Below are 20,426 nucleotides of genomic sequence, written 5' to 3'. Positions count from 1 at the left end.
AAAAAAACTTTACAACTAATATCCTCTGGATGTAGAAAATCATTACATACTCAAACAGAAATGAAAGCCTTTGTGAATTACAAACACATAGACATACAGACACAGAGAAAACTTATAGCTTCAGTTGTAATATTTTAGACTTGGGGCAAGTGTAAATAACACTTTATTATCTGTTCATGTCAAAGAACTATTCTACTTCCTAGTAGATTTGACTTTCTTACTTGTTTTGAGCTCTATGTAGAAAGTGAAAAGACAGATTCTCATTTGATTCTAATTCAACAGAGAGTGAATCTCTATGAAACATTCATCTATTTAGATATCAATAAAGGATCAGACCATGAAACCAAATTCCTAATCTTTGTTGCTACAGATGGAAAATAACTTGTTGGCTATGAACCAAAACCAAAAAGAAAATGTGAAAATATGCAGAGAAATGATTTTAAAGATAGTAAAATTCTATTGTCATTTGAATTTACTTGTAGAAATTAGGAATATATGTATATGTAAATATATAAATATATACCTGTGTTTAAGCACTCCATAAGAAGTGCATTTCTCTTCTGACAGTTTACCTAACCATCAGGTGAATCCACTGGGCATATCTGTGGAAGATTTTTAAAGCTGTTAAAAATATAATTATAATTTTCAATAAAACATAGCATCATAACTTTATGAAAATATTAAACAAACATGTGTGAAAGATATTATTTAATTTACTTTTAATAAGGAATCCAGTAAAGCTTTACTATCAGTTCAAAGGAGAAAACAAGTAAACCACTGAAGGATAAAAGTATTTAGCAAAACCACAAATAGATTTTCCATGGATCTGTCTATCAATACAATGCTATTTCCATCACATCAGTTACTATTTAAATAATGTCTATAAAAATTTGGTTAAAATAAAATGGAATTTTAAAAAATTGTGTAATAAATGTACATATATTCAATACATATATATACATACATATATTTACACATACATATATATTTCTGTCACAATTTGAGTATAAACAATTTGACTATTAAAAATGATTTTGACATAAATCAAAACTGATTTTTTTAACCTTTGCTAAAGAAACATATTATTTCAACAAATAAATGAAAGCTTGAAATTCAAACTTTGAAATGATTATGTCATCCAAAAGACTACCAAAAAGACTAAACAGTAGAAAGAAGAGTTTATTTGTGATATCAGTTCGCTAACTGGGTGTATTAGTCAATTCTCACACTGCTATGAAGAACTACCTGAGACTCGGTGATTTATAAAGAAAAGAGGTTTAATTGTCACACAGTTCCACAGGCTCTACAGGAGGCATGGCTGGGAGGCCTGAGAAAACTTACAATCATGGCAGAAAGTGAAGGGGAAGCAAGCATGGTCTTCACATGGCAGCAGGAGAGAGAGTAAAGGGAGAGGTGTTATATACTTTTACACAACCAGATCTCAGGAGAACTCACTCAGTATCAGGAGAACAGCAAGGGGGAAACTGCCCCCATGATTTAATCATCTCCCATCAGGCCCCACCTCCAACAGTCAGAATCGCAATTCAACATGAAATTTGGCTGAGGAAACAGAGCAAAATAATATAACTGGGAAAACTTCATCTCTGATGTGGACCCAGGGTGCTCTCCTAGAAGTGGTAAAGGGCAGGGTGATTTTTGTGCCTCATAAGGTCTGTGTTCAAAATAGAGTCAGACATATTCAGCAAGTTTGTGGGGAAAGCAATACATATTTATGGGGGACAGGCAAGCACATGTTCAATGAGTAAACATGTATGTAACATACATCCCATGTTCTCTTTGAAGCAGGGCTTTAGCTTTAAAATGAGGTGGAATTTGGCAGTTCACATAAAAAAAGTGAACTACAGGACACAAAGACAGTTTATGTCCTGTCTGTATAAACTGGCTGAAACTGGTTTGAGGCCTACAATTGCTTATCAGAAAAGTGTTTTGTAAGGCGATTCTCTGTCTGATAAGGGTTATGGTGGCCTTGGTTGTAAATCAGAGTTAGAAATGAAATGACAATTTGACTGATAGCTCCTATTACGGAGTTTAGCAAGGGTGTGGTTTTTCTTGTAGCTCTAGAAATTTAGGGAATTGCTGTGCCAGCCAAGCTTTGAACCCTTGTCCAATAGTTACCTTCTGTTTCCTTAACCCTAGGTTTCATCTTAGTAGACAGAGAGGCATCTATCATGATCTCTCAGGTCACAATTGTAATATTGTAGTAAGTGATGGGAATTCATAACATTTTTACTTCTTTCGTTGCTATAGATTTGTGCAAATGGATGCAGTTGTTTGAGTGAAGAAGACAGTCAGGAATATCGGTATCTATGTTTTCTCAGATGGGCTGGCAACATGTATCTGGAAAATACAACTGATGATCAAGAAAATGAGTGTCAACATGAAGCTGTTTGTAAAGATGAAATTAATAGACCCAGGTATTTATGTATCATTTGAGCAGATAATATCACATATCAAAAAGTTATAATTAAATTGATAGTCATCGAACTGTTTCATGGTAACAATGTTTTTGTTGATTAAAATGATTGGAATTTCCATAACAAACACTTACATATACATATATAGTTATTATATATTATGTTACATAATACATGTTATGTATAACAATTCTAGCACAATAAAAGGAGGGAAGAAGGAATATATCTGTATAGAAATAACTTCTCTATGTCATTGTAGAATTAAGTTAGCATAAATCTGTGGTAAATTCTGCTAAGTTAAGATGTGTACGATTAGCTCCAAAGCAACTACAAAAAACAACAACAAAACAAACAAAAACTCATATGCTTTAGTAAAATTAGCATTAACAAAATTAAAATGTTGCCCTCAGGGTCTGGCACAGTGACTTAAGCCTGTAATCTCAGTGTTTTGGGAGGCCAGGGCAAGAGAATAGCTTGAGGCCAAGAGTTTGAGACCAGCCTGGGCAACATAGTGATAATTTGTCTCTACAAAAAACTTAAAAAAATCAGCCAGGTGTGGTTGTGCACACCTGTACTCCTAGCCCTAGCTACTTGGGAGGCTGAGGAAGAAGTATCACTTGAGCCCAGGAGTTAGAAGCTTCAATGAGCTATGATTGTGCCACTGCACTCCAGCCTGGGCAACAGAGTGAGACCCTATCATGAGAAAATAAATACAATAAAATAAAATATTGCCCTAGAGATTTACTTAGTATAAAAGAAACTAGTATTAGAATAATTACAATGAAAAAAATACAGGTACAAAAGAGATATAAGACATGTGGAAAACAAAAAGTAAAATGGCAGGCATAAATTCAAATATATCAAAAATATTTAAATAAAGTGATTTCAGAAATTCAGTCAAAATTTAGAGACGTTTAGACTGGCTGTTTTCTGATTTAGTCAACTATATATGATCTATAGAAGATACACTTTATGTATACGTGTGTGTATATATATATATATGGTTTACGGAAGACACTTTAGATTCAAAGATACAAATAAGCTGAAAGTAAAGCAATAAAAAAATATCATTCAAACTGCATCAAGAAGAAAACTGGAGTGCCTATACTAACATCAGGGAAAAAATAGATTTTAAGAGAAAAAATGAAACAGTTAGTAGAGAAAAAGAAAGATATTTTATAATTATAAAAGAATCAAACTATCAGAAAAGGTAGTGATTACAAACATATATGTGTGTGTATATATATATGTATATACACAACTAACAACAGAGCCTCAAAATAATGAAGCTAAAAAATAATTTAAGGGAGAAATAGCCAATTCAACAATAACAATTAGAGGCTCTAATATTCTACTTTCAATAGCAGATATAACACTTGGCTATAAATCAACTAAGATATAGGAGATTCAAACAACACTATAAATCATCTAGAAATAGTAGATAGCTATAAAACACATTACCCAACAACAGCAGAATAACCTTCTTAAATGTACATGGCACACTCTCCAAGATAGATCATATCCTACGCTATGCTATAAAGCAAGCTGTAATATATTTCAAAAAATTGAAATAATAAAAAGGACATTATCTGACCAAAATTGAATGAGATTAAACATCAAAATCAATAAGTAACTTGATAAATTTACAATTACATGGAAGTTAAATAATACAATCTTTATTAAACAATGAATCAAAGTGAAATTGCAAGAGAAATTAGAAAAGACTTTGAGATTATTGAAAATGGATACCAAAACTCATGGGATGTGGGTGATGCAGTGCTGCGAATAAAATTTATAGCTGTAAATACCTCAATAGCCTAAACTTCCACAACACAATGGATAAGAGAGGAAACTAAACCTAAATAAAATAAGTAGAAAGAAGGAAATCATAAAATGTAGAGTAAAATTAATAAAATAAAATATAGATAAACAATAAAGAATATCAAAAAACAAAATTTCATTTGTTTTAAACATTAACAAATATACTAAAATCAGGAATAAGATATAAAATATTACTGAAATTACAGAAAGAAAAATAATTATAAAGAAATGCTATGAACAACTGTAAATTAAAAAAATTAGTTAACTTCGATAAAATAGAAAAATACCAACTACTGAAATTGATTCAAGAAGAAGTAGGAAATCTAACCTATAACAAGTAAAAAGATTGAATCAGTAATTAAACAAACTAACAAAAATTAACACTATGAAATGTTCATGGCTAGATGACTTCACTGAGACATTGTAACAGATATTTAAAGCAAAATTAAGAGTAGTTATTCACCACCTCCTCCAAAAATAGAAGAGAAGAGAACATTTCCCAACTCATTTTATGAGGCCAATATTACAACAATAGCACAACCAGACAAATCACAAGAAAACTATAGGCAAATCTATGTTTTCAATCCCTCTATATAGCACTATAAACCCTCTGTATACCACTAAGATCAATGAAAATGAGAAAATTGTATATACTCTGAATAAATGGAAATATAATGCATAGACTTAAATATTAGGCCTTAAGTTAGCTAAAATATTAATTCTTCCCAAATTAATTCACAGAAGAATCCTCAACACGGTGATACCACACCAAATTCAGCAACATATAGAAAGGTTTATACAGCATGACCAGGTGGGATTTATCGTAAGAATATAAGTTTGATTTAGTGGCTTAAAATCAATTAATGTAATTTAATGTATCAATAGAATAAATAAAGAAGAAAATGCATGATAATGTAGATGGAGAAAAAAATTGTATTACAGAATCTCACAACACTTTATGAAACAAACACTCAACAAATAAAGAATAAAAGGGAACTTCCACAATCTGATAAGAGAAGTTAAAAAAAAATAAGAAGAATGAAGAAACATAACTAACATTATACTTTACGGTGAAAGGCTGAAAGACTGGAATTTTAAATCAAAACAATGAGATAACACTTTACACCCAGCAATTCTACTTCTAGTATATACTCAAAAAATTGAAAATATATGTTCTTTACAAAAATTTATATGTGAATGTTTACAGTTTTGTTCGAAAGAGTCAAAAAGTTGAAACAACCCAAATGACCATCAACTGATGAATGGATATATAAAATTTGTTATATCCATACAATGAAATGTTATTCAGCAATAGACAAAGATGAATTACTGATATGTGCTTCAATACGAATAAACATTGAAAACATTTTGATAAGGAAAAGTAGTAAGCCACAAAAGACACATAGAATAGTGCTCAACAAATACTTGTTTAATGAAACAATGATTTTCAGAAGCTTTTTTATTTACTAAGAAAATTATCCTTCGTTTTGTGATGTTATTTCCTTTTTTCTGATTTTGTGATTCTCTTTTGTTTGCCATTATTTTTTGATATCCAGAGAATCTTGGATAAATTACAAAATTTTTGTAATTTATCAACACTTTAATGAGTTCTTGATATTGTCTCATAATTAATACTAACAATGGAGCCCAACAAATGTTGCAGATACAAGTATTTTATATAAAATTAAGTTTCTCTATATCAGTTGCAATATCTAGAAATTATATGTGTGATACCACCTGTTATAATGTCAAAAGATATGCAAAATGTTTAGAATTAAAAAAAAGATGCTCTAATTCTCCATTAAAAAGACCCTCTATATACCACTAAGCTCAATGAAAAAGAGAAAATTATATATACACTGAATAAATGGAAATATAATGCATGGAGTTAAATATTAGGCCTTAAATTAGCTAAAATATTAATTCTTCCCAAATTAATTCACACATTTAATGCAATAGTAAAAATATTGCAAGTTATTTTAGAAACTAATTATCATGTTATATATATTTATGAATAATATTTTCTAAATTATGAAGTCATCTTTGAAAAGGAAGACTAATGGGGTGGGATCTGATGAACCATATGACATGACAGACTACATAACACATATGGGTGCCTTTAAAGGAAAAAAAATAATAATGGGTCAACAGAGAGCTCTGACAACAACCCGAGTATATACGGGAACTCAATATATGAGAAATTTGGCTATAATCTCATTTGAACATACAGGGTTCTTTAGTAAATGGTATTGAGGAAATGGCTCATAATAAGACCTTAAATGAAACTGGATTACAACCTTATACCTTATATAGAAGTAGACTCTAAATGTGTATAGGGATCTAAAAGTTTAAGGTAAAATGACGATATAAATGAAAGAAATGTAGAAAAATATCTTTGTGATTTCGGGATGGAGAAATTTTTCAATTAAACTCAATTTATAAGGCAAAATAATGATAGTATTATAATGATAGACACTAATAATGTTGATGATGTTAACGGACACAAAGTTAATGAATAGCGTATAAACATTTTCTTTTAAAGTGTATTTTAAATGGGTGCAGATTAAAATTCATTATATAAATGATGTATTGCAAACAGGTCTGCATATTACCACATTTTTTTGCCCTGAAATCTTCAAAAAATTTTTCTGGGGGTTTATAAAATGTTTAATGAGCCAAAGACTAAATCATACCAGCCATATTGTTACTTAAGACCAGGAAAGATTTGCTAAGTCTGGGATGTTAATTTCTTAATACCATGCCCAGACTGTGAAGTGTTCATGACTCCCACCTGTTTTTGAAGCCTCAAATTTATGTCTAAGTCACCAATCCCTACTTGCTACCAGAAATATCATAACAGAATGAAATATATTCATTCATACATTTATTATTTATTGAATCTCCTCTAACTGGAAGATATTTTTCAAAATGTTATGACAATGAGACATGATACCTGTCCCCAGGTAATGTACTATACATAGGTAAGATTATACACTCTTCAGAACACATCTCATGGTTCTTCTGTTTCATTTAGAAAGTGAACACATTTTTAAAGTACTAAAGTAATTATTTTTTTCACTTTCTGAACATACAAGTTGCTTGATTATAGCAGTGTGTCTTCTGGCTTTCTTTCTGGAAGTTTTAAATTTAACCTGTTTCCTTTACAGGCTATTTTAGGAGATTCACATTTTCTGTGTAATGTTAAATATATCCAAAACATAATTTTCAGTTATAAGTAAGAGTTCTGTTTCAAAGTGTAGAATCTAAAAGTCCATAAGAAAATCAGGTGAAGTTTCAAAAACTATTTCTGTAGAGTCAGGAGGCTTGTAAAAATAGAGCTTTATGTGAATATGGCACAAAAGTATAGTATAATTTGACCAGGATTTTCTTAAATTATTTCTGATCCCAAAAGTCTAATAATTATTTATTCTAAGACTATTGTAATTTCTGCCGTGATGTCCGTGATTTTATTAACAAGTTGAATAGTTGGTTTTAGGTTTATTTATTTATTTTGGCTATACTATGCAAACTTTTCTGCCTTCAAGTAAAAGTTTTATGTGGGTATATTTTTACCTTTAAAGCAAAAAAGATATCGAACTGCATATGAAAGTGTCATATTGAATGTATTTTTGGGTTGGGGCCAGTCTTGAAACCACTAGATCAAGTGTCTAAATCTTTTTGTCTAAGGCACTTACATACACTGATATATTTTCTCTCTTTATTATGCTCTAGAAAACCAAATAATCTTGGTTCTTAAATCCTTATAGTAAAATGATATAGAAATCATTCATTTAAGCAATTCTAGAGTACATATCATTGTATTACCCATACACATACCAAAATTATTATAACAAACTTCATTAAATGAAGCATTTTTGAATAATAAAGTTTCAAGTTTCATATGGGTTGAAATTTAACTCATCTATACACAATTATCTCTCATATATTTTTCCCAAATACATACGTTATATATTTAAAATTAAAGTTTGACCGTATTATAGCTTCAGGTTTTATGACTTTTCATACTTCAATTTCATATCTCAAACAATAAAATGACTTGTGCATGTTATATAGTTTTATACTACCTAAGCCAGATTTTTATTTAAATTTATATTTAAATCGTTTTTATAGGTATAACCTTTTAGCATTGCTTTTCAAATTATTTTCTAAGACTTGGAGTTTCATGCAGCCTTTTATGCAGAATCTTTAAAAGGTGACCTTTGTCTTAAGCATAGCTTGCTCAAGTTTAAAATGCATTTGTTGACCATATTAATGCAACAGTAATTGAGCATCCACAGTTTATATGGTATTTGGGTCATAACTTTAGGATTCAGGATAATGTGTAAAGGAATAATTTTAGTTTTTCTATTCCTAGAATTTTTTTCATTAAAAACATAAATGATAAAAAACTAATAATTATAATATTTTCACATCAGATCATATTTTTAACTTATAGAATTTTACCTAGTAGGCTTCTGCTTTTTACTTTCTATCATATTATTCACTTGTTTCCCATTTATATTTTAAAATTTATATATTTAATACAGTTAGCAATACATTCATAAATTATTTTAGTCCAATTTGATTTCTCAAAGAAAATTTCTTTAGATTTACATATTTTCAAGATATCAGTAACATTTATAGGTTACTATAATTTTCATCAAAATTGATATTTTAGCAAAATTGATGTACTCACTGAAAAGCTTTCAATCTGATAGCCATTTCTCTTAGTACTCAATATCAATGTACACATATATATTACAATTTATTTGAATTTATTAATTATTATGACAAAATGCTAGACGTACTAGTACATGGTTGGGTGAAAAGTGATGAGTGCTTTTGTAAATTGGAGAAATTTATTTCAGCTCAGTAATTTTCAGGGAGAGTATTTTGTCTTCTAGAGGCATCTTGGGAACTTCTAGAGTCATTGTCAATATTCAGAATAATTGACTGGAACAGTTTAATTTTAGGATATGGGTAGTGAATGATGAATGTTATAAATCTTTCAATGCACAGAACAGTTCAGGCAAAGCAAACGTTTTTCACAGATTGCACAATTTCTAAAAGTCACAGCATATGTTAATGTGTGTATAAAACCTATATATGAATATCTAAGCCTAGATCTGAATTTCATGTCACATATTGGCATGAAATATTTTTACACAATTTTAATAATCATTGACTATATCAGGAATAAATTTTTTATGTTAAGTCAATAAATATTTTTCATTCAGAAATTTCTTAGAATTTTTTAACTATATTGAAAAAAATACATCATCCTACTTGAGTGTCTAATAGGAAATGACTATTATCAGTCTTTATTTATGGCTACCAAACCCATGGTAATTCTGTGTATGAGTGCAAAGAGCTAACCACTTCAATGTATCTTCTAGTTCAGTCATTCCTTAGTATTTTTTGTATAGAAATAGTGGTCTTGTAAATTAGTGGTCTCTTATACTTTTTATATTAGAGTTAGGGAATTATCTTGGTTAATTTTTAATATTAGGTGTGTAGGTAGGATACATTATGAATTCCATTGTATGAAGTAAAGTGTGTGCTACAAAAACCAAAAATGCACTATTAATAGAAAATATTGGTCTCATTGATTTTAGTGTATCCATTTCAGGAAGTACAAAGCTAAGTAGATTATACACCTTTAAAAGTATAATAGAGGATCAAAAGCAGACAAATATTTCAAAATTATAAGAAATAAATAACATCACAAACCACAAAATAAATAAATAAAACACAATTCACATTTCAAAATAGAAAACAAAAATATTATAAACACATAAAAGACATATTGGTTATTAACATCTATTAAATTACCTCAAAAATCAAAGTAAGAGCAATTCTAGGTTAAGAGGTTCATTATAACACTTTGACTTAGAAGGATCAAAAACACACAACCGAAAAACTTACTGGAGAGATCTTAATTGAGAACAAGGCTGGAACTACAGACTTGATATATCAAGGTGGAATTTAGGATAGAAAGTGTTAAACCAGATAAAAAGTAGTTTTTATTTAGCTTTATGTTGACGTAATAAAGCATTTTGCATTACAATCAATAATGCCTGCTATTAATTTAGGCTCCTGAAAGTATTTAAGTATATAAACAAGTCAAAAAATGAGGAAGTATAAATTGGATAGGAAGAAACACAATTATTGTGGTTTATAGATATGATTATGAATATAGTAAAATAAAAGAATTGATTTAAAAAACTTATTAGAAATAAAATAATTTTATTTTGTGGTCTACTGACAAATCTTTGTAAGAAATGTATAGATTTCCAATAAGAAATAAATGTCGTTTAGAAAATAAAATGAAGACTAATATTTTATTTACAATAGTAACCCAAAAGATAAAACACCAAGGAATAAACTGTTATAAATGCATAACAAAAGAAAATCTTAAAATTATAATGAATGATTTATGAAAGATTATTAAATGCTTTCAATTGCATAGCATGTTCTTGGGTAGAAAGGCTCAATGTTTTAGATATGGTAATTCTAAATTCATATATAAATTCTATATGGTCTCATATAAAACAAAAATAAATTTTTTGTTTTACTGTGTATATAAAAAGGATAAAAGTTGAAAGAAAGAAAAACTATAGGAGTATGAGAAAAGATATTAAAACAAGGTATTAAAATATGTTCTGGGGTGTTAAATCAAACATTCTACTGAGGGAGACACTGACTCATATATATGAGTCATATGCATATGTATATCTTATATATAAATATATGTACTTATCTATATGAATTTATTTTAATATACATAGCATTTCTAATCAATGGTAGAAAAAAATTACACCATTTAAAAATTTATCAGATAATTCATTTATGAAATAAATCTATCGCTTTCTAAAAGACAATGAGAGTGAATATTTGTATATCTTAAAATGAGGAGGCTTTTCTAAACGTGACACAAGATTGAGAAGCAATTAAAGGAAAAACAGATACAGGTGTTATATAAAAATGTATAATTTATAAAGGTATACACTCCAAAAACATTCAAGCATCTGGAAAAAATTATTTACAGTACATTAGACAAAATGATATTTTATAGGTACTCCTGTTAAATATAGCCAATGTAGTGCATGGGTTTCTATTTTTTCCAAAACCCATTAAAATTATGATCAAAGGGAACAAAGAGCATGGGAGAGGAAGCTATAGAATAAATAAGTGGATTACTCAACAACAAGAACACTGCTCTTTCATTAGCTTAATACTTTGACTATTTTGAGTTCAAGACAGTTTAAAATTAATAGGAGGCCTCTTACAGTTTAGCCAGTCTATTACAGGCAAAACCAAGTGAAAGATTGAAATAAGAATTCCTGTAACTCTAGCCCAAAGCTCATTTTTAACCTAAAAAATGATCTCGACACTAATTAGAGGCTGGAACTATTTCTAGGAGTCAGAGTGTCCCTACCCTGGGTAAAGCACCATTAACATTTCAACAGGCCACCCAAATCAGAAAACTAGGAAGTATTTTAGACCCCTTCTCCTCCTCACAGTCCCCTGTCCCTGACACATCCAATCACTAAGCCATCTGATTCTACCTTTTGAATCTGAGTGACTTTAGAACAAGTGTCCTGGAGTCAAAGAGACTCCAGGTTCAAATCTGAACCTCCAAGAAGTTCAAATCCTCCTGCCATCACTTATGAATTGTGAGACCTTAAGCAAGTCATTCTCCCTCCTATGCCTCATTTCTCTCAACTCCATTGCAGAGTTACTATACCTACCTTAAGGGAGATTAAATAATGATGAAATGAGACAGTGTAGGTATCAAATGCAGCGTTTGTTGTATATGTGCTTAAAAATTTATTTAAAATATTATTATTGATTTGCTGTCTCTATCCTCACCAGTACAACCTAAATCCAGGACAAAAAATATCACAGCTAGATGAAGAAGGATGAGGAGGATGAAGAAGGGAGAGGAGGAGGGGAGAAGAGGGAGAAAGGAGAATTATGAGGAAGAGTAAGGAGGAGGAGGAGAAGTTTATGATGGTGGCGACAGCTGCCTTCATTGCCTCTAAATGTGAATTCCCCTTGCTGCCACCTTGTTACCAGGGCCAGCTGCCTGGGGGTGTACCTGTGCCAATGGTGCTGCCACTAACTGAAGTTATAGGGGCATGTCTGCCGAAAGCTCTTCCACCACCTGCTAATGCAGACTGACAATCCACTGTGCTAAAATATCTTTTACTTCTGATCTCTTAAAGGCCATGCTTTGTCACTTTAATCCCAGAGATACAGTATCTAGCTCTTTCAAAAATCTCTCTGACACTTCGTGAGGAAACAGTTCCTTTGGCTTTTTGGAGAACCTGACTCTCATGACCAAAGGAAGGATCATTAATTTCATTTTAAAAATGATAAAAACAACCTCAGAAAGGTTTTTAAAAAGTTTTTCCAAGTCACACAGCAGAGCCAGGGTCCTCTGATCCAAAGTCCAGGTTACTTATGTACAATCAAATGGTCTCATGTCCTCTTTCTTGTGAATTCACTGTTATAGGTACCATTTTCTCTATGCTTTCTCTTCTTTCCTGACAGTGGAGAAGAGCAAATGCTAGAGTGATCTTCCGAGGAAGGACTCTGGCTTTGACTCATTCCAATCTTCCTAATCTCAGCAAGGCAAGCGAAGAGGGTTGCAAGGAAGGTTTACAATATCACCGGTGTTTCACTGTATGTTCCTTCCTTCAAGTGGCTCTGGTATTCAGAATGCATAGAGGAAATAGCCTGGACTTAGGGTGAAGATGTGAACTGGAAATCTGGCTCCTTCCTTTCCGTCATTCATTAACAAATTTTCCTTAGTGGGCCCAGGATCTGTTTTGGGCCTGGAAATACAACAAATAAAACAAAGTCCCCACTCTCATACAGTAACATTCTTGCAGGAGAAGACAGAAAATAAACAAATGAAGAAATAAACAAATAAAAGCCAGGTGGTAACAAATACCACGGGAAAAACAATGAATCGGGGTAATTGATAAAGAAAGCTGGGAAAGGGGCTATTTTATATAGCGTAGCCAGGCAAGGGTTTGAAGGAGCAGTGACATTTAATCAGAGATGGGAATAAAGTGATAGATTTCTGGCAAAGGAGACAGAGCAGGTGTAAAGGCCCTGAGGTAGGAACATGTCAAGCTGTGTGGAGAATGGCAGCACTGAGTTCAGGAAGCAAGAGGGAGAGGTGAGACCAGAGTGACTGGGAAAGTGAGGGAGTGGGGAATAGATTAAATAGAACCTTAGAAGCCCTACTAATGCTCTGGATTTTACCCTGAGGGATATGCCAGTGAAAGGTTTAAGCAGAGGAATGACATGATCTGCTTTATGTTTTTGAAAGGCTCACTTTGGTCACTATACAGGGGCCAAGGTAGAGGTAGCCGTTAAATAGATTTTGCAATAGGTCAAAAAAGATCATGGTGGCTCAGACAGAGATGGAGGTGACGGTGACAAAGGTGTCAATGGCAGGCGATTTTTCAAAGGCAGAATCTTTTAGCAGCTGGGCTACTTTGACTGAGATATTTTGCCTCTCCTGGCTCAGGTCCCTCATCAGTAACATGAAGGTAACAGTACCAATCTCATAAAATCACGGTATGGATTAAATGAGATAATTTATATGAAGGCTATACCTGTTGTTTTCCTTTGTATTAAAGACAAAGTCTGCAACCTTACACAAAACTTTATTACATATATGCTCAAAGACCGAGATGTAAGAACACCTTGTCTTCAGAGTAGCAGAAACAATTTTGTGTATAGCAAGATTATTTACACTCATCTATCTCATCCTCTTAAATAAGAAAACTGATTACTATAAATATGTGCCAGCTTTTATGGTTCATTTTAGAATCTTAGTGCGTCAAAAAGTATAAAATAGTTAGACAAGTGAGGGATAAGTGAATCATGAGAGTCTTATTTATAGAATAAAAGCTGGGAATATCTGTGAAAACATCTTAATAATGATTATGACTGGTGGATGATATTGCAGAGTTTTAAAAAAATCCCTTTGTGCTTTTCTACATTTTCCACATCAATACAATAAAAAATGTATTTTAAGAGTATTTATTCCTATATCCATTTAGCAAAGAGAGTTAGAATCTCTGAAAGAAAACATGAGACAAGTAAAGAAAATAAGTATGTTAAAATTATAAGGGAAAAAGGGCAAAAACTAATATTTTGTGGGTATTATCTGCACAAAAGACACATCAAGTAGTTATTTAATTTTTGCAAATTAAATAGCAGGATGTGCTTTTTTCCCTAAATCAAGAGCCACTGAGGTATGGATGGAACACATTGGAACCAGTGAGCCTGAGATGGAGTCTGGCCTGGACTTTTTTCTTTTTTCTTTTTTTTTTTTTTTTTTGAGACGGATTCTTGCTCTCTCACCTGGGCTGGAGTGCAGTGGCACAATCTTGGCTCACTTGCAACCTCTGCCTCCTGGATTCAAGTGATTCTCCTGCCTCAGCCTCCTGAGTAGCTGGGACTACAGGCGCGCGCCCCCAGGCCCAGCTAAGTTTTGTATTTTTAGTAGAGACGGGATTTCACCATGTTGGCCAGGATGGTCTCGATCTCTTGACTTTGTGATCCACCCACCTTGGTCTCCCAAAGTGCTGGGATTACAGGCATGAGCCACTGCGCCCGTCCTGGCCTGGACTTCTTACACCCTGCTGGTCGCATGGATATATTCCTGCTGCATAACCAGCCCCAGTGGCTGAGCCTCTGAGGTCTGACTGAGATCAGGTGCAAAGCAGCAATCTCACTGTTATTCATAAGCAATGCTGACAAGCTCATACTAACCTTCCCAAAACTCCTGAGACCTGTGTTTCCAAAATGACGCTATTAATCGGTACATTTCATGCCTCGGCTTAAAACCCCAGAGTCCTACTTCTTTCTCTTGAAGGTGAACCGTGCTTTCCTCATTTCATCTGGTTCCTCTCTCTGTGGATACGTCTGGATAATTAGATCTTGCATATGCAAGAATAAAATGAAGAAAAAGGTGACCTGCCTAGTCCAGTTTCAGGGTAAATTATCTGCTAGGTAAGCATAGAATCCCTTCTTGGCATAAGTGTAGCACATTAATTAGGCTAAGCGTCTCCATCTCTTTTCTCTGCCTTGCCAAATATCTCATTCAGCTATCATATCTTGGTACGAGGAAGCTGTGAGGGAGTGGAGAAAAGAAAAGCATCCTGCCACACAAATAAGGAAAAGGAGATTCAGAAGGTTTAAGTGACTTGCCTATTCTCCCACCCTAAAGAAATCTAACTTACTAAAGCCTTTTCTCCTTCACTAACTTTCCATCTCTAATCTAAACCAAATTTGTGCATTTCACCAGACATCACATTGTCTCTCTCACTGATTTTGAGGCAATGGCCAGGCCCCCTACCAGCTCACACAACATCTTTGTGCCAGTCAGAAAAGGCACCCCTTCTTCCTGGCACATGCAGCCCCCACATTGGTCAGAGCTCAGCCTCATTTTAGACTGGGCATGATACCATAGTGCTGGTTATAGCCTTCATGACTGTATTGCAGCCCCTTAATATGGCTGGACAACTAAGGTGGCTCCCAACACAAAGAAACTTCCTCTTAAATAGCTTGTTGACATTTTAAATTAGAGATGTCAAAACTTGAGGATATTATCTTCTTCATTAAGTCTTTTTCCATTTTGTCTGTTCCCATCAGTGACACTCCCAGAAACCTCTGCCCTCAATCTTGGAATCAATATTTATTCTAGCTGGCTTGTCTTCATCCTCACATCCAGGTTGACACCAAATCTTTCCAACTCTTTTTTGAAAAATAGCAAGTACATTTTTTCCCTCCAACTGCAACCCTCTTTTAGCCTGTGGATTTTATTCTTAGACTCCTGAAACAAATTCCCAGTCTGTTTTATATTTTAGCCTCTTACACTTCCAGGCCTTCCAATGAAACAAGAAGAATCATATTTCTTGGCCACCATTTTAAATCATGTTAATCCATTTCTCAGAATACTGCATCTGCCAAAAAAAAAAAAAAAAAGGCTTTCATACTCTCTACTAGTTTTAATCCCACAAAATCTCCGTAGTCTTACAGAGCACTGCCATGGGTTGAGTTATCCAACAGCAGACCTGAGACAATGTTTAGCGTTTAGTATATTTCTAGGGTATCCCTTGGGACCAACAGCTGTGAAAAGAAGGGGAAAACAATTGAGCAGAGGGAGAAGTCAGGTTGTGATGCAGACCTGATTGCCTTAGCCAACTCCACAGGAAGCTGTAGGTGCCTGCTGGAGTTGCCTCACTTAGGGTGAACATGGCCCTCCATCAGTCACTGCATGCCAACCTTTGAGGGGATGGGGGTGGTGGCCTTAGCTAAGGCCACCTTTTTCAGGCCACCTGTTTAAGGCCACTTGTTAAGGGCCACCTTAAGGCAACCTGTTTAACCTGCACCTCTGCAGCTAAAAGAATCCCTGAAGGGGCTGAGCCCTAGAGGCTATCTACTGGCAGAACTATAACTGGCAGAAGGACAACATGTCCTTCTGAGATGCACTTCTCTGTTTCTACCACCATCTATCCCATGTGCCACTTGGATCCACTTCAAGGAGCCAAATGTGCCACTTGAATACGTTCAAGGAGCAGTTCCTCCACTGTACCAAGAGGCATCTCTTCCCAGTGAAATCTACAATAGGGGAAGTTAATAGGAGGAACTCCACCCCTGCTTCTGCACCAGTCCCAGGGCTGCAACTGATACTCATCATCTCCTTCCTCCATTATCCGTCTGGATTCCTCCTATATCAGGCTGCAGCTCTGCTAGTCTTAGTAGCTTACCTGATGGCATGAACTAGACACTCATTTCTGAGGGACCTGAGCTCCTGGTCACCATGCCCTTATCAGGCTACATGTGCTTTTGTCTTCTCAGCACTTTCTATTCCTTTTGGAATCTCTCATTGGCTGACTCGCAGCCCAAATTCTCCCTCTTGACTTCAGTCCCTTCAGCATGTAGTCCCCATCCATTTTGTGTGTGTGTGTGTTTTTTTTTTCCTGCATTGCATCCTTAGGCAGCTCCACTTAAACTCGCTAGTTAATTCCTTTCTTTAGTCTTTCTGTCAGTTCTTCCCCATCTCCTTTTCTGTTCTATTATTAGGCATCACAGAGCTACAAAAGATCACCTGTGAGACCTAGACTCTCTTTAGAGGGTAGGAAAGACAAAAGAGTAGGGGAGTTGGGGAAATAAGCTGGCAAACAGAAAATTTTTCTTGAAAAATTGGATGGCTGGGGGAGAAGGAAGCAAAAATTCCCAGCAGGCCAGGAAGTCAATAGGAAGGCATTCTAGCTCTCTTTCAATGATTATGTCTAGCTCAAAATGTGGAGTGAATACTTGTTCAGATAACCAAGCAGCCACTTCCCTGTTTAACAGACTACTTTGAGGGAGGGAGTCCTACACTCACCTCCCCTAGCAAAGCGGCGTCATTCCTCTTTCAACCAACCATCCATCTATCTGTATCACTGATTCAACAAATACTTATTGAGTGTCTACAATGTGCTAGTTCAGAGAATGTTCCATGATTATACAGAAGAAATTTTAAACTCCTGTTTGGACATCATCTTAATAAAGACACAAATATAATTCAACAATGTTTTTGAAAATAAGAGGAATAAGAAGTAAGGCCAAGTATCAGGACAGTACATTTAAATGTTTTCGGTTCTTCTATGGAAAACTGAAGACTTTCAGATTCAATGAACAAAACCCATGTTTTGCTAAAATAGAGTGGCGTTTTAATTAAAAATATATATATATATTATTTTTTTTGAGATGGAGACTCACTCTGTTGCCCAGGCTGGAGTGTGGTGATGTGATCTTGGCTCACCACAACCTCCGCTTCCTGGGTTAAAGAGATTCTCCTGCCTCCGCCTCCCAAGTAGCTGGGATTACAGGCATGTGCCACGATGCCCGGCTAATTGTTTTTTTTTTTTTTTTTTTTTTTGCATTTTTAGTAGAGACGGGGTTTTGCCATGTTGGCCAGTTTGGTCTCGAACTCCTGACCTCAAGTGATCCACCTGCCTTGGCCTCTCAAAGTGCTGGGATTACAGGCCTGAGACACCACACCCAGCCAAATAGTGACATTTTAAAAGTTTAAAAATATAAAGATAAAAATCATGTAAACATATATATGTAAATACACAAATCAAAAGTAGAAAATAATATTAATATCAGAAAAAAATAGAATTCACAACAAAACTATGACCAGCCTGGGCGCAGTGGCTCACGACGGTAATCCCAGCACTTTCGCAGGCCAAGGCGGGTGGATCCCTTGAGCTCAGGAGTTTGAGACCAGCCTGGCCAACATGGTGAAACCCCGTCTCTACTAAAGATTCAAAAAATAGCCAGGCATGGTGGCACATGCCTGTTGTCCCAGCTACTTCAGTGGTTAAGGAAGGAGAATCGCTTGAACCCAGGAGGCGGAGGCTGCAATGAGTGGAGATCGTGCCCCTGCACTCCAGCCTGGGTGATGGAATGAGACTCTGTCTTAAAAAATACATATATTATATATATAAATTATATATATTTTATATATATTATATTACATATAAATTATATATACAAAATATATGTAATACATATAATATATAAAATATATATAATATATATATAAAATATGTATATAACCAGGATCAGTGGTGACCAGCCTCCAAGATGACCCTCAATGACCCTGCCTGCCTCCGAGTACCCACACTCTTGTGAAGTCTCCTCCCACACGCACTATACCAGGGTTAGTCTGTTTGAACAATAGCAGATGTGGAAGTGATGGTAAGTCATTTCTAAGATTAGACTTTGAAAGAGTATAATTTCCACGTTGAGCTCTCTTGTTCTCTCTGTCTCTTTGTGTCTTTGTCGCTCTCTCTCTCTCTGATCTATTGCTGGAAAAGAGGAGTGAGAAGGGGAAAGGAGTGAAAAACAAGTTGCTATATTGTGAACAGTTCTATGGAGAGGACTGCACGGTAAAAAAAAAAATGGAGCCTCCAGCCGGGCGCGGTGGCTCACGCATGTAATCCCAGCACTTTGGGAGGCCGAGGTGGGCGGATCATGAGGTCAGGAAATCAAGACCATCCTGGCTAACATGGTGAAATCCCGTCTCTACTGAAAATACAAAAAATTAGCTGGGCGTGGTGGCGGGCGCCTGTCATCCCAGCTACTCTGGAGGCTGAGGCAGGAGAATTGCTTGAACCCCGGAGGAGGAGGTTGCGGTGAGCCGAGATCGCACCACTGCCCTCCAGCCTGGGCAACAGAGGGAGACTCTGTCTGAAAGAAAGAAAGAAAGAAAGAAAGAAAGAAAGAAAGAAAGAAAGAAAGAAAGAAAGAAAGGAAGGAAGGAAGGAAGGAAGGAAGGAAGGAAGGAAGGAAGGAAGGAAGAGAAAATGTAGCCTCCAGCCAAGAGCTAGCAAGGAATTGAGCTCTGTCGGTATCCAAGTGAGTGAGCTTAACAGTGGATTCTCCAGCCCCAGCCAAGCCTTGAGACAATGGCAGCCCAGGAAGAAAAGCTTGACTGTGACTTTGTGAGAGATGTTGAACCAGCCAAGCTGCCCCTAGATTTCCTTGCCTCAGAAATTGCATGAGATACTAAATGTTTGTTCTTTTAAGCCACTAAGTGTTGGAGTAATTTGTTTCACAGCAATAGATAACAGAATCAAAGACATTCATTTTATAAAATATACAGACCGTAACAATAGGAAAACAAAAATCATACCAAAACTACAAATGAAAAACAGTATTTACAAGAATTGTTTACACATTTAACAGAATATTGAATGTAGCTTTATAGTAGTAAAAATAAAACATGCCTTTAAATGTATAATTTTCTGGAGAAATATAAATGACTAAAAATTGACTCCAGAAAATAAACTGAGCAAATTAGTAATCAGTGAATAGATTTAAGTAGAAAATCAAACACCTATTACAGATTTTTTCCATTATCTCTCCACAAAGATCTAGGTTTAGCTGCTCCAACCAATGAGTTCTTCCAACAATTGAGGTAAAATAAATACTTTGACATTTAAAAAAAGACAAAATCAGCCTTAAAATGATAAATTGATAGCATATCCTAATTGCTAAGCCTTACAAACATAAAGAGAAATCATAGTTATAAATATAGATACAATATTTATTATATAAAATTTTCAAATTGAAATCCACACAGAATAT

The 20,426-nt window shown here is 34.4% G+C and overlaps 1 protein-coding gene across 4 annotated transcripts in view; it reads left to right on the top strand.

The window, feature by feature from the left end:
* Window positions 1-20,426, top strand: part of EYS (eyes shut homolog) — a 1,987,247-nt gene that overhangs the window by 369,812 nt on the left and 1,597,009 nt on the right. For 2 of the 4 annotated variants that reach the window (NM_001142800.2, NM_001292009.2), the window contains exon 11: window positions 2,269-2,435. In NM_001142800.2, the coding sequence (NP_001136272.1) occupies window positions 2,269-2,435 (167 nt within the window). Of the gene's footprint in view, window positions 1-2,268; window positions 2,520-4,997; window positions 8,144-20,426 lie in introns of those variants that run through there. The other 2 variants (NM_001142801.2, NM_198283.2) reach the window with 2 other exon arrangements.

The sequence above is a fragment of the Homo sapiens genome, chromosome 6 (genome assembly GCF_000001405.40).
Source record: "Homo sapiens chromosome 6, GRCh38.p14 Primary Assembly".
Classification (NCBI taxonomy): Eukaryota; Metazoa; Chordata; class Mammalia; order Primates; family Hominidae; genus Homo; species Homo sapiens.
Note: the sequence above shows the minus strand (reverse complement) of the source record. Positions and strands in the feature narration are given on the sequence as shown.